Source organism: Homo sapiens, chromosome 8, assembly GCF_000001405.40.
Source record: "Homo sapiens chromosome 8, GRCh38.p14 Primary Assembly".
NCBI lineage: Eukaryota > Metazoa > Chordata > Mammalia > Primates > Hominidae > Homo > Homo sapiens.
Window position 1 is genome coordinate 58,634,563 of NC_000008.11, and position 14,438 is coordinate 58,649,000.

Sequence of the window (14,438 nt, forward strand, 5' to 3'; positions counted from 1 at the left end):
CCCTTTCGCTTTAAAGATGAAGCAGATGAAACCCAGAGCCAAAAGAAAGTAGTCCCTTCTTATTTACAATTTTTTAAATCTACATACTAATTAATAATATGACAGGAGAAAAAGCATGTTTTAATTGACCTTTTATTGCCAATGCTGTCATGCCTATATTGAGTGCAGTGGTGGGTGCATAAATATAAAGGGAATAAATCTGGAATGAACAAAAGGTTATTACCACAAGGGTCATAATGATACAAGACCACCAATCCCAAGTCATTGCCTTGGTTGTCCTAAGTCCCTGAGATCATTTAAGTGGCATGGCAATGGACTCTCACCTTCTAAATAGCTAGGAAGCTACGGGAAGAGCTGCATCCCTTCATTTCAAGCCTCGTAAATCATAAATCGTGAGAGCTCCAAGGACAAAACCGCAAGCCCACAGATATCACACACTTAATAAACATGAAGAAGCTCATTAGGGATCACATCTTTTTAAAACTATATTTCTCAATGACTGAATTCTAAAAGCATTTGATTTCTATTCCATGGTCTTCATCTGATATCTCTACAAGTAATTTCATTCATGCACATATATAAGAATGTTCATTCAGATTAGGAAAAAATATTTATTATGTGCTTACCTGACTGAAAATGAGTGAAATACCCCCAGATTTTGCCCTAAAATACAGATAAAAGTCATTAAATATATACAGCTTTTTGGTTGAAGTAAAATTAAACAGTGGTGAAAATGACATACTTTGTGAAGTGTCTATTGGCTCCATTTTCTCCATGCTTTCCTATTTTTATACAGTCTCTCAAAGGAATCTGGATAAAATTGAGAGAAATATTATAAAAATCAAGAAAGGTAAGACATACACAAAAAATAGGAATGTTTCTGTTCATATTTAAAATGTATTTACCTTGATGATGGGCTGGGATATTGAATCTGGTTCAAAAATCACCGATTTTGAACATATTTTTAAGGAGCCTCTGATTTTCCTAGGGATCCAAGTACAACAGATTGTTTGATGAGCATAACAAAAATCACAAGATAATCATAGTACATTTTAACTAGAAAGCAGGTTACTAAAGCATCACATAATAAAAGATCAATAATGCATATAAAGAGAACGTCTCTATTTTTAAATTAACTGGTAAAACAAAACACAGAATAGTGGTTCATATTGGCATTTACAATTCAAATGTTAGAAAGTTTTTAATTAAACTTCTTTGGTTTATATGTGTATCTCCATATAGTTTACAGCATCTATTGGCTAGAAACTTAATGAATCCAGAAACATCACACTGAGAAATAGTCTTACAGACTGAGAATGCCTACACTCATCCCACCCCAGAGTAACACTGCCTGTTCTTTTGTGAGCAGTAAATATTTACTTTGGCTTTCTATTCTCAGTGCTCAATATACATGTACTGAATAGATGAGAAGGCCCATTCTACTGAAGGTTATGATTTAGTTTGCAATTCTTTCTCAAAGGGTTTTTGAAATTTTATACCATTTCATATCATTTTTCCAAGTTGTTAACTGCATTTACTTTTCTAATACCCAAAATTACCCAATAGTAACATAAAAACTTTTATGAAATTTCTAAACATATACAAATAGAATAGAAAACTCCCATGTACCAATGGCCTAGCTCTACAATTGTCAATATGTGGTCACTCTTGTCTTGTGTATAACCCCCTGGGACCCTGCTGAATAACACAGAAAATTATTGACATCATATACTTTATCCACAAATATTTTAGCAAAAATCTCTGAAGACAGCCTCTCTTAATAAGTGACCAATCATTAACACACTCTAAGAAATTAATAATTCTTTAATGTCATCATGTATACAGCCAGTGTTCAAAGAATACTTTCAGAGGTAGTACACGGGTACTGCCTTCACATCCAGAGGCACCCAGAGGATCAGGTGATGTCAATCTCCATATAGCCATTACAAAATTTCCCAGCAGCTTCTCTCACCTAAAGGTTTTAGCAGCTATTGAAAATTACTATCTAGATCAAGGGCTGGTAAACTTTCTGTAAAGAGCCAGATAGTAAATATCTTTGCTTTGTGGGCCATATGGTCTCAGTCACAACCATTCAACTTTGCTGTTATAGGGAAAGCAGCCACACACAGTATGTACACAAATGGGAATGCCTGTGTTCCAGTAAAACTTTACAAGAACAAGTGGCAGCTCAGATATGGCCCAAGGGCTGTAGTTTGCCAAGCCCTGCTGTGAATCCATTCTTCCATTAGGCATTGAAATTTTATCATTCCTTCTATGTTATGAGCTAGAATTTGACAAAAAAGAACAACTTTACTTATCAGCAATTTGGCTACCCTGAAGTACAATTTGTACAAGGAAAATAACAAAAATGCTTGATTCTTTACCTTTATTTATCAAGTGTTACAAAAATGAGTTGTTGTCTTCCTATCCTTCGAGGATAACTGATTAAGATTATACACACACACACACACACACACACCCACACACAAACACACATATTTATAAAATTACGTACTCATGAATTTTAACATTTATGAAACATTTCAATCCATTGCAGAAGTTATTCTTTTCTGATGCTTACATTGTCGCATTTTTGGCCCAATGTCAGCATCGTCTACTTGCCCCTGCATCCTTTTAATTCATTTACAGTAGTCTTTGATACCTTCCTTACTTGCCAGTATGACAGGATGTCCCAGGTTCATCTCACAGATTTCCTGCCTCTGACTTAGAATCAGCAATTTCTCCAAAGAACCCCCATCCTTTCAGTGGGAAGTGGTATTAAGAGACCAGATTCTTGGTGCTGATTGCAACTGAGTTATTTCTAGGCCTTTTCAAAAGATAGAGGTAAGAAATACTGTCATTTAAAGAGAAAAGCAACACAAAGGTGCCCACTCTTACCACTACTATTCAACATAGTACTGGAAATCCTAGCCAGAGCAATTTGGCAAGTAAAAGAAAGAACAGGCATCCAAATTGGAAAAGTTAAACTGTCTCTGTTAGCAAATAACATGATTTTATATGTATACAAAAACCCTAAGGATTCTATCAAAAAAACTATTCAAACCAATAAACAAATTCAGTAAAACTGAAGAATACAAAATCAATATACAAAAAACAGCGTTGCATTTCTATATGCTAACAATGATCTATCCAAAAAAGAAATTACAGAAACAATTCAATTTATAAAAGCACCAAAGGAAAAACAAAACACTTAGGAATAAATTTAACCAAGGAGGTAAAAAGTCTGTACACTGAAAACTACAAAACACTGATGAAAGAAACTGAAGTAGACACAAATAAATAGAAAGATATCTGGTGTTCACAGACTGGAAGAATTAATACTGCTAAAATGTCCATATTTTCCAAAGCAATCTACAAATTAAAAGCAAACCCTATTAAAATCCCAATGGCATTTTTAACAGAAACAGAAAAAAAGAAATTAACATTGATATTGACCCACAAAATAAACAAAACACCCAAAACAATCTGTTTTGTTTCATTTTAAGAAATGGGATCTCACTATGTCACCCAGGCTAGAGTTCAGTAGCATGATTATAGCTCACTGCAGCCTCAAAATGGGCTCAATCAATCCTCCTGCTTCAGCTTTCCAAGTAGCTGTGACTCCAGGTGTGCACCACCATGCCCAGCTAATTTTTAGTTTTTTTAGAGATGGGGTCTTGCTAGGTTGCTCAGGCTGGTCTCCAACTCCTGGTCTCAAGTGATCCTCCCTCCTCAGCCTCCTGAGTAGCTGGCATTACAGGTGCAAGCCACCATGCCTGGTCCAGAGTAATCTTGAACAAGAAGAACAAAACTGGTGGCATCAAACTACCTGGTTTCAAAATATACTACAAAGCTACATTAATCAAAACAGCATGATACAGCTGTACAGACCAATGGAACACAATACATCCACATATATGCAGTCAACTAATCATCCACAAAGGTGCCAAAAACACACAATGAAGAAAGGATAGTTTATTTAATAAATGGTGTTGGGAAAACTAGATATCCCCGTGGAAAAAAAAAAGTGAACCCTTACCTCATCCCATACATAAAAATCTACTTGAAATGAACTGAAGACTTAAATGTAAGTCCTGAAATTGTAAAACTGCTGAAAGAAAAAATACAGAAAAGCTTCTCGGCATTGGTCTGGGCAGTATTTTGGATGACTCCAAAAGCACAGGCAATATAAGCAAAAATAGACAAATGGGATTACATAAAACAAAAAGCTTCTGTGCATCAAGAAAAATAATTAACAAAGTCAAAAGACAACCTACGGAATGGGAGAAAATAGTTGAAAACCATACTTCTGATAAGGGGCTAATATCCAAAATACATAAAAAACTCGAACAACTTGATAGTATAATAAGAAAACAAATAGCCTATTAAAAGACAGGCAGAGGACCTGAATAGACATATCTCAAAAGAAGACATACAAATGGGTGGGTGTGGTGGCTCACGCCTGTAATCCCAGCACTTTCGGAGGCCGAGGCGGGTGGTTCACAAGATCAGGAGATCGACACCATCCTGGCTAACACGGTGAAACCCCGTCTCTAATAAAAATACAAAAAAATTAGCCAGAAATGGTGGCACGTGCTGTACGCCCAGCTACTTGGGAGACTAAGGCAGGAGAATCGCTTGAACCCGGAAGGCAGAGGTTGCAGTGAGCAGAGATCACGCCACTGCACTTCAGCCTAGGTGACAGAGTGAGACTCCGTCTCAATAAAAAAAAAAAAAGAAGAAGAAGAAGAAGAAGAAGACATACAAATGGCCAACAAGCATATGAAAAGATCCTCAGCAGCCTTAATCATCAGAGAAAAGCAAATCAAAACCACATTAAGCTATTGCTTCACACCTGTTAGGATGGCTATTATCAAAAAACAAAAGATAACAGTTGTTGGCAAGAGCGTGGAGAAAAGAGAACCCTTATATACTGCTGGTGGGAATATGAATTGGTTTAGCCATTAAAGAAAACAGTACAGAGGTTTCTCAAAAAACTAAAAATAGAACTACCATACTATCCAGCAATCCCACTTCTGGGTATACATCCAAAGCAAATGGAGCCAGTATGTTGAAGATGTATCTGTACTCCCATGTTCATTACAGTATTATTTACAGTAGCCAAGATTTGGGATCAATCTAAGTGTCCATTGATAGATTAATGAATAAAGAAAATATGATATATATATGAATATAAAACATATAAAAATAGACATACATACATACACACAATGGAATATTATTCAGCCTCAAAAAAGGAAATCCTGCTACTTGTGGCCATGTGGATGGACTTGGAGGACATTATGCTAAGTAAAATAAGCCAGCCACAGAAGGACAAATACTACATGATTTCACGTAGACTCTAAAAGAGTTTAATTCAAAGAAGAGACAAGAATGGAACTTACGAAAATTTTTTAGGTGGGAAAGCTCAGAGCTTTGTTCAGGCAAGAGTAAGTTAAACTTCACGAAATTAAAGGGGGTGGAAGAAATGGGGAGATGCTGGGCAAAGTGCACAAGTTGTCCATTATCCAGGATAAGTTCTGCAGATTTAATGTAGAGTTATTGACTACAGTCCATACCACATCATACACTTGAAATTGGCTCAGAGAGTAGATCTTATATGTTCTTATTCCCACACACACAAAAGAAGGTAACTGTGAGGTGATGGATATGATAATTACTTTGATTGTGGTCAGCATTTCACAATGTGTATGTATATCAAAACATCAAATTGTATACCCTAAATATATACAATTTTTATTCATCAATTATATCTCAATAAAGCTGGAAAAAAGGAGGAAAGTGCATGAAAAAGGCTTTATTTCTTTAATATTACATGTATGTCTCTTTTCTTTTATACTGGAAAATCTGAGTCTTGGCCATACTTATTAAATTGTTTTATCCAATTATATAAATACATATACATGCATGTATAAAATAGTTTCAAAATAATAATACTAATAGTATACTAATAACAACAATATTGCAACTGGAAAAGTTTACAATTACTTTACATTCTTTTTCAACTTCTTTGCAATACTTTTTCATCTTACCAGAGATACACAGTCAAATTATTATATTGTAAAGTTGATTAAAATAATTTTCTGTGGCTAACTCCAACTTTATAATTAAATTCATTTGTTTCTTGTCTTTTCTTTTTTTAATATATAATTGTAATAAATAGAAACAGAGTTTCGCTATGTTGATCAGGCTGGTCTCAAACTCCTGGCCACAAGAGATCGTACTGTACTGCCTTGGCTTACTAAAGTGCTGGGATTACGAGTGTGAACCACCACACCTGAACTGTTTCATTTTCTCTTTGATTTTTAGGGTTTACTGTTTCTTTTTTATTTTTATTTATTGATTGATTTATTTTTGAGACAGAGTCTTGCTTTGTCACCCAGGCTGGAGTGCAGTGGCATGATCCTGGCTCACTGCAACCTCCGCCTCCCAAGTTCAAGCAATTCTCCTGCCTCAGTCTCCCAAGTAGCTGGGATTACAAGGGTGCACCACCACGCCTGGCTAATTTTTGTATTTTAGCAGAGACGAGGTTTCACCGTGTTGGCCAGGCTGGTCTCAAACTCCTAGCCTCAAGTGATCCACCAGCCTCGGCCTCCCAAAGTACTGGGATTACAGGCATGAGCCACCACACCTGGCCTTACTGTTTCTTTTTAAATTTAATTCTATATTAAAAATCTACAAAAGATGCCCTCTCAGCCTCTTAGCTAAGATAAAGTGTAGTAAAAATCTATAAAATGTTTATATGGTTCCAAAACGAAAGTTACAAAATAAGGTACATTTGGAGAAGTCCTCATTCCATCTCTATATTGTTCTTCTGATCCTTCCCCTCTTCTGTGTAGATAACTGTCTCCACTAGCTTTTAGTTTATGCCTCCGATTTTTAAAAACATAGTGATAAATCTGCCCCCTTCTGACAAAAGTAGCTTATGACACACAGTATCCTGTCCCTTGCTTTTTACACTTAATACATGTAGAGATCACTTCATAGCATTACAAAGAACTTCATTCCTTGTTGAACCTGCATAGTACTCCATCATGTGGCCATTTCTTATCAGTCAGTTCAGTCAGTCTCCTGTAGGATTGTTCCTAGTCTTTTACTAGTACAAGTAGTGCTATAATAACCTTGTGCATATGTCCATTTATATAACTGCCAGTTCTCTTTGAAATGGTATCCTAGAAGTAGCATTGCTAGATCAATAGGTTAATGCACATGTCATCTTACCAGATATTACCAAATACACCTACATGGGGCTGTACCATTTTGCCCTAATAGTTACTTTAAAATTATAAAAACAGGTTTCAGTTTGCTACCTGTAGTTGTATTTTAATAATAAACAAGTACATTTAATTTTAAGCAAGGCACTATGATGATATACGATAGAAGAATGTTGGAAGGAAAAAAGATATGGAATTAGGGAAAAGAATATGAGCAAAATTCCAGAGATAAGAAAGCAAGGTGCTGTGTTCAGGGATGAATAATTGTCTAATTTGATTGAATGCCAAGAAAATAGATATGTCATAAGCTACTAAACAAAAAAACCAAGTGAGTTTTACTTTAGCTTGTATTTAAACAAATACCACATGTTTTTGATCCGTTAAGGATAAACCTGAAGAATAATAAAAATAAGTGGATTTATCTACTGTCAAAGAATTTCCTAAGTTATGGCTTACAGTTGTTAAGTAACCTCCCAAAAGGAAATCATTAGCAGATACCTTTTTGGTGGAACAATTTTCATCTTAGTTAATTCTAAGTTGCCATTTTAAGCAAACAAAAAGCTTCATTACATGCTTCTGTACATAGCTTTCAAAAGGTAAAGTCAAAGAAACAATCTGTTTTTATAGTAGTGAGTAATAGTTATTAAGATACTGAGAAATCAGATCTTGCTTCTAGTTCAAATCGCATGACTCATTTTGAAAGTACTGATTTTATACCACTCTTGTGGTTTATAATCATTACTTTATAACATTGTCACCCGAATAATTGAGAGCAGAGGATACTGCATAACTACAAGAGGGATGCAACAAAAAAATGATGGGATGGACTGGAGTCCTATCAAGCTTAAGATATCTACAACCCCAGAATTGGAACAAATGCTTTTTAGCTTTGAAAAAGGTTTCAAGTTACAATTATAACTTTTAAATACACTCTTCTCATTACTTCCCTAATAAGAGAAAAGATGAAAAAAACTTCATGGGAGATAAAATAATAAACATAGCAAAAACTCTCCAAAAGACTCTCCTAGGTTATAATCCTCAATAAAAGTCTAAATAAAATTTACTTTAATTTTTTTTAAAGCCTAATTTTTTCTTTAGTTAACACCTATATGATCACACATTTAACTTTAAAAGTTCAGATATCAGAAAGGTTTGTTTGTCCAAGGAGATACCGAAGCTTCCTTACCTTTCATGGTGACTGCCCTTGTGCAAAATGTGATTGGCTCTATGCTGTTCAAAGTAGTACTCCTCCAAGTTAAGCAGCAGCAAGGAAAATCTGGATTTGGGGCGAAAAAACAACTTTCAGTTTATTTTTTAGTAAGTATAAGAAGGCAATATATTTAAAACGTCTGATCCCAAAAAGCTTTTCCATTCTTGAATTTAACAAACATTTATGAAGCATGTATATCATGCCAGGCAGTCCTCTCTACCCAGTGGCGGGAAGTACATAGCTGGGCTTGCCTTGTGTCCAAATAACTACTATGTCAAAAATAAAATCACTCACCAGGTGGATGTACTACTCTTTTACAGAAACCCTGAATTTTGTGAAGTTAAACTTATCCTTATCTGAACAAAGCTCAGCGCTTTCCTACTTAGGGAATTTTGAGCATTTGTTTCCCCTGACTGAACAATGCTAGGCTTCCCCACCTCTTCCCTGTCATACCTCCCTGCCCCCAACATCTGCCTCATGGTTATCTGAGTTACTCCCACAAGAACACATGCCTCTAGGGACAGATCTTTTTTTTTTTTTTTGGGACGGAGTTTCACTCTTGTTGCCCAGCCTGGAGTAAAATGGCGCAGTCTCAGCTCAAGTAACCTCCACCTCCCGGGTTCAAGTAATTCTCCTGCCTCAGCCTCCCAAGTAGCTGGGATTACAGGCATGCACCACCATGCCTGGCTAATTTTGTATTTTTAGTAGAGACAGGGTTTCTCCATGTTGGTAAGGCTGGTCTCGAACTCCCAACCTCACGTAATCCACCCACCTCGGCCTCCCAAAGTGCTGGGATTACAAGCATGAGCCACCGGCCCAGCCAACAGATCTTTAGATATTCCCTTGTGATAACCAGCCCATGCTGTCTACACAATGGGTGTTTAATAAGTAAAATGAGTAAACCAAACTGAATGGGATTGAAATATAGTTCTTTTTAAAGTTGAAAGTCATTTAAACTTTTAAAAACAAGAGAAGTCATTAAGAAAAATTATTAATTTTGTTGTATGGCTACAGCAACAAATACATGACAAAGAAGTGAAAACAGGCATTTTTTTGTTTTGTTTTGTGATAAGGACCAGGAAACATCAATGAGTTACAGGCAAAAGCTTTCATGAAAAGTGTGGGACTTGAGATGGGCCTTAAGTTCCAGTGTGTTGGAGGAAGAAATTTACATTAAACATGGCAGATTACACATATATGTTTATTTCACTGCCTCTTGAAACACCACTACAATGTGAATAAAACTATTTTTAAATGGTAAAACCCACAGGCTAAAGCAAATTGGAGAGATATTAAAGCAGAGAAGAGACATGAACAAATCTGTGAGAAATGGAAAGCAGACCGGGGGAATAAGCAGTGCTCAGAAATCAGAATTTCAGATGCCTCCAGAGAAGGCACCACTCAGGAGAAAACCAGTTCAAGTCACCGGACTTCCAAAAAGTTCAGAAATTGCAGGATCAAGTGCTAGAGACGATGTGGAGAAATAGGAATGCTTTTACACTGCTGGTGGGAGTGTAAATTAGTTCAACCATTGTGGAAGACAGTGTGGCGATTCCTCAAGGATCTAGAACTAGAAATACCATTTGACCAAGCCATCCCATTACTGGGTATATACCCAAAGGATTATAAATCATTCTGCTACAAAGAAACAGGCACACATATGTTTAATGCGGCACTGTTCACAATAGCAAAGACTTGGAACCAACCCAAATGCCCATCAATGATAGACTGGATAAAGAAAATGTGGCACATATACACCATGGAATACTATGCAGCCGTAAAAAAGGATGAATTCATGTCCTTTGCAGCGACATGGATGAAGCTGGAAACCATCATTCTCAGCAAACACAAGAACAGAAAACCAAGCACCGCCATGTTCTCGCTCATAAGTGGGAGCTGAACAATGAGAACACATGGACACAGGGAGGTGAACATCACACACGGGGACCTGTTGGCGGGGTGGGGAGCTAGAGGAGGGATAGCATTAGGAGAAATACCTAATGTAGATGATGTGTTGATGGGTGCAGCAAACCACCATGGCACGTGTATACCTATGTAACAAACCTGCACGTTCTGCACATGTACTCCAGAACTTAAAGTATAATTAAAAAAAAAAAAAAAAGAAATTGCAGTATCAGGTACCAAGAGGACAGGGTTTGTAAAGCATGAGGGTGGTTAAAAGTGAATGAGGGCAGTAGCCCCCAATTCTTTTCCTGATGGGTTAACCATACTGCACTCTGGCATGTGGTTTTTCTATTTAAAAAAAAGTGGAACAAGAGGCTGCACACTAGGTATCAGGCACAGTGGAGAGCAGGATTGTAGTGTGAAGAGAGGATGACTATGCAAAACATGGAATAGATGAACACTAGTTTGCTGAGAATTATGGTTTCCAGCTTCATCCATATATCACTCCAGGCAGGAGTCTGGTACATTAGTTTTGGAAAAAACTAAACAGCCTCAGAGAAAAAGCCAGGTCTCTACAACATCATCCCACAGTGAAACTCAACTGAAATAGCCCATTCCCAGTGACACAGAATTAAATGCTTCACATTTAAATATGAATGAACAGCCCAAGATCACAGCCTCTAGGATGAAAGAACAAAGCCAAAGCAAGCAGGAAGAATGCAACTTGAAGGACTAAACACAATGCAGAGAACAGAAGAAAAGGTCAAAAGGCTACAATTAATATCCCTACAAAGAAGAAGTTATATTCATAACACCAGAAGAGATGCTCATCAAAAAAAAATAATAGGCCAGGCGCAGCGGCTCACACCTGTAATCCCAGCACTTCGGGAGGCCAAGGCGGGCGGTTTGCCTGAGGTCAGGAGTTCGAGACCAGCCTGGTCAACATGGTGAAACCACCTCTCTACTAAAAGTACAAAAATTAGCCAGGCGTGGTGGCGGGCGCCTATAATCCCAGCTACTCGGGAGGCTGAGGCAGGAGAATTGCTTGAACCTGGGAAGTAGAGGTTGCAGTGAGCCAAGATCGCGCCACTGCACTCCAGCCTAGGCAACAAGAGCGAGACTCCGTCTCAAAATCATCATCATCATCATCATCATCATCTGAACCAAAAGAAAAGTAACTCAAAAAATTAAAAATGATAGCAGAAACCAATTTTACCATCCTAATCTGTAACTTTTATTGACCTGTCCTCCATATCTAAATCCATGAACAAGAATCAATTACAGGGTAAACTGCCAGAGTGCAAAACAAAATGCACACTATCAATACTTAATCTGAATTTCAATATAGTCACAAGACAGAATTGGAGTTACACATCCTTCCTTCTCTTTCCTAATCGCCTCACTCCTTCTCTTATAGAGAGGGAAGAATAGAGTAAGTATTCTTCAATAAGACAATGGCATAATTTTATTTCTATGATGCACAAGTAGCCTTCAGAGACAATTCTTCCATATAATTATTAAAATATAATCATATCAGCTATTTTAGAACTAAAGTCATTTTGGTAAGTGAATTAATTATAGCCTCCTTAATTTATCAATATGCATATTTTGCAAGAAATGTAAAACACACAGTGAAGGGATATAACCAAATCATATTGTTTGAAGTAAAGGATTATGAAACTTTTCTGAGTCTATGTTTTCTTTTTACTAAAGTGTTGTTATACCCGCTTTAAAATTTTTCTATGTAAAAATTATTATAATTAAGTTGCATGATTTTTAGAACAATGATTTTCAAACTACATTTTACGGAGTAAAAGAGTCCATGCTTAAAAAAAAAAATTAAAATCACCGTTTTGTAATTGGATGGTCTCATCCTTTGGTATTGTATCTGACTGTAAATTATTTCTTTAGAAGACTCTTAGCCCTGCCCCTACATATTCCTAGTTTAATCCTCCTTTACAGAGGTGTGGTTTCATTCTCTTTAGAGAAGTTTCCTCATTGAGCAACTCAACATTCCTAAAAAGATGTTTTCCTATTCTTACATCACCTAAATTTTAAAGCCTACTGTACAACACTTAACTAGAACTTAAAATAGCTGGAGTAACCTTGCATTCCACTCAACAATTATTCAACACTCAGCTGATGAACAGTATTTACAGTGGATCCAGAAGGTTTTGTTAGTCAATGCTTTCTCTAACAGGCTTCACTGTGATAAGAAGTGTAACCCAAACTTATTGGGAGGAAGTGCTGTGATGCCATGACACTTTCGTGATGTGTGCAGAGGCAAAGGAAAGCACAGGAGTGCTGTGTATTTGCCACCTCTACTCTCAATACCCCAACACCAGCCTTGAATGAAGCTAGACTACAGTGCCCCTACTAGAGAGTTGATTTAATTAAACGGACCATTTTTAAGAAGCTTCTGAAAATGATTTCTGAAATAAAGAAGAAATTAAGAAAACTGTTATAGACAAGGCAAGATCGCAGTCCTACTACCCACCATTGGAAACATCCCCCCAGTAATACACTGGACAGTGATATAGTTTGGATGTTCTGTCCTCTCCATATGTCATGTTGAAATGTGATTCCCAACGTTGAAGGTGGAGGCCCGGTAGGAGGTGATTGGATCATGGGGGTAGATCCCTCATGACTCAGCACCATCCCCTTGGTGATAAATGAGTTCACAATCTGTTCACTCAAGCTCTGGTTGTTTAAAAGGGTCTGGGAACTTCCCTTTCTCTCTCTTGCTCTGTCTCTTGCCATGGGATACACCTGCTCCCACTCACTTTCTGCCATAGTAAAAGCTCCCTGAGGCTTACCAGAAACCAAGCAGATGCTGGTGCCTTGCTTCCTGTACAGCCTGCAGAACCATGAGCCAACTAAGCCTCTTTCCATTGTAAATTACGCAGCCTCAGGAATTTCTTTATAGCAAAACAAAAACAGACTAAGACATAAAATTGGCACCAGGGAGTAGGGCATTTTATTATGGATATACGTAAAGACATGGAAGCAGCTTTGGAACAGGGTAACAGGCAGAAGCTGGAAGAGTTTGGGGGACTCAGAAGAGACCAGGAAGACAAGGGAAAGTTTGAAACTTCTCAGAGACTGGTTAAATGGTTGTGACCAAAATACAGATAGGAATATGGACAGTGAAGGTCAGGCTGACACGGTCTCAGATGGAAATGAGGAAATGAATGGGAACTGAAACAAAGGTCGCCCTTGTTACAAACTAGCAAAGAACTTGGCTGCATTTGTGTCCATGTTCTAGGGATCTGTGGAAGGTTGAACTTAAGAGTAAGGACTTAGGTAGGGTATGTGGCGGAAGAAATTTCTAAGCAGCAAAGGGTTTCAGAACTGGTCTGGCTGCTTCTAAAAGCCAACAATCAGATACAGGAACAAATAAATGACTTAAAGTTGGAACTTACACTTAAAAGGAAAGCAGAACATAAAACTCTGGGAAATTTGTAGCCCGGCCATGTGGTAGAGAAAGAAAAAGCATTTTCAGGAGAGGAATTCAAGCCGGCTATGGAGTAAGCTATGGAATAATTGCATGCTAGAGAGATGAGCATGACTAAAAGGTTGCCAAGGGCTAATATCCAAAACAATGGGGAAGGCCTCAAAGTCATTTCAGAAGTTTTCAGGATGTCCCTCCCATCACAGAGGGCCTAGGAGAGGAAAGAAGGGCTTAGGGGGCCAAGCCCAGCTTCCCACTACCCCATACAGCCTAGGGACACTGCTTCCTGCAGACCCACTGTTCCACCTCCAGCCATGGCTCAAAGGCCCACAAGTACAGCTCATGCTGCTGCTCCAAAGGGTGCAAGACATTAGCCTTGGAAGCTTCCATGTGGTGTTAGGTGTGCAGGTGCACAGAATGCAAGCATGAAGGAGCCTTGGCAGCTTACCCCTAGATTTCAGAGGATGTGTGAAAAGGCCTGGAATCCCGGGCAGAAGCCTGCTACAAGGATGGGGCCCATACAGAGAACGTCTACGACAGTAGTATGAAGGGGAAAAGTGGGCTGGAGTCCCCATATATAGTCCCCACCAAGTGGAGTTATGAGAAGGGGGCCACCTGCCCTCTAGACTCAACAATG

At 37.9% G+C, this 14,438-nt stretch overlaps 1 protein-coding gene across 28 annotated transcripts in view, besides 1 other annotated feature; it reads right to left on the reverse strand.

Moving 5' to 3' along the window:
* Positions 1 to 14,438, reverse strand: part of NSMAF (neutral sphingomyelinase activation associated factor) — a 76,350-nt gene that overhangs the window by 51,059 nt on the left and 10,853 nt on the right. For 19 of the 28 annotated variants that reach the window (NR_182088.1, NR_182085.1, NR_182087.1 and 16 more), the window contains 4 exons: positions 8,422 to 8,511; positions 906 to 984; positions 743 to 810; positions 627 to 663 (listed from right to left, as the gene is read on the reverse strand). Coding sequence is in view for 12 of the 28 variants with exons in the window: in NM_001144772.1 (NP_001138244.1) it covers positions 627 to 663; positions 743 to 810; positions 906 to 984; positions 8,422 to 8,511 (274 nt within the window). In the remaining 16 variants the exon portion in view is untranslated. Of the gene's footprint in view, positions 1 to 626; positions 664 to 742; positions 811 to 905; positions 985 to 1,629; positions 1,699 to 2,662; positions 2,942 to 5,405; positions 5,541 to 8,421; positions 8,512 to 14,438 lie in introns of those variants that run through there. The other 9 variants (NM_001413003.1, NM_001413004.1, NM_001413006.1 and 6 more) reach the window with 9 other exon arrangements.
* Positions 10,882 to 11,442: an enhancer, noted in NCBI's record as "OCT4-NANOG-H3K27ac-H3K4me1 hESC enhancer chr8:59558003-59558563 (GRCh37/hg19 assembly coordinates)". NCBI's record gives its function as "activates a minimal SCP1, AML or CMV promoter by ChIP-STARR-seq in naive and primed H9 embryonic stem cells {active_cell/tissue: H9 hESC(naive and primed)}" and the evidence as "EXISTENCE:reporter gene assay evidence [ECO:0000049][PMID:30033119]".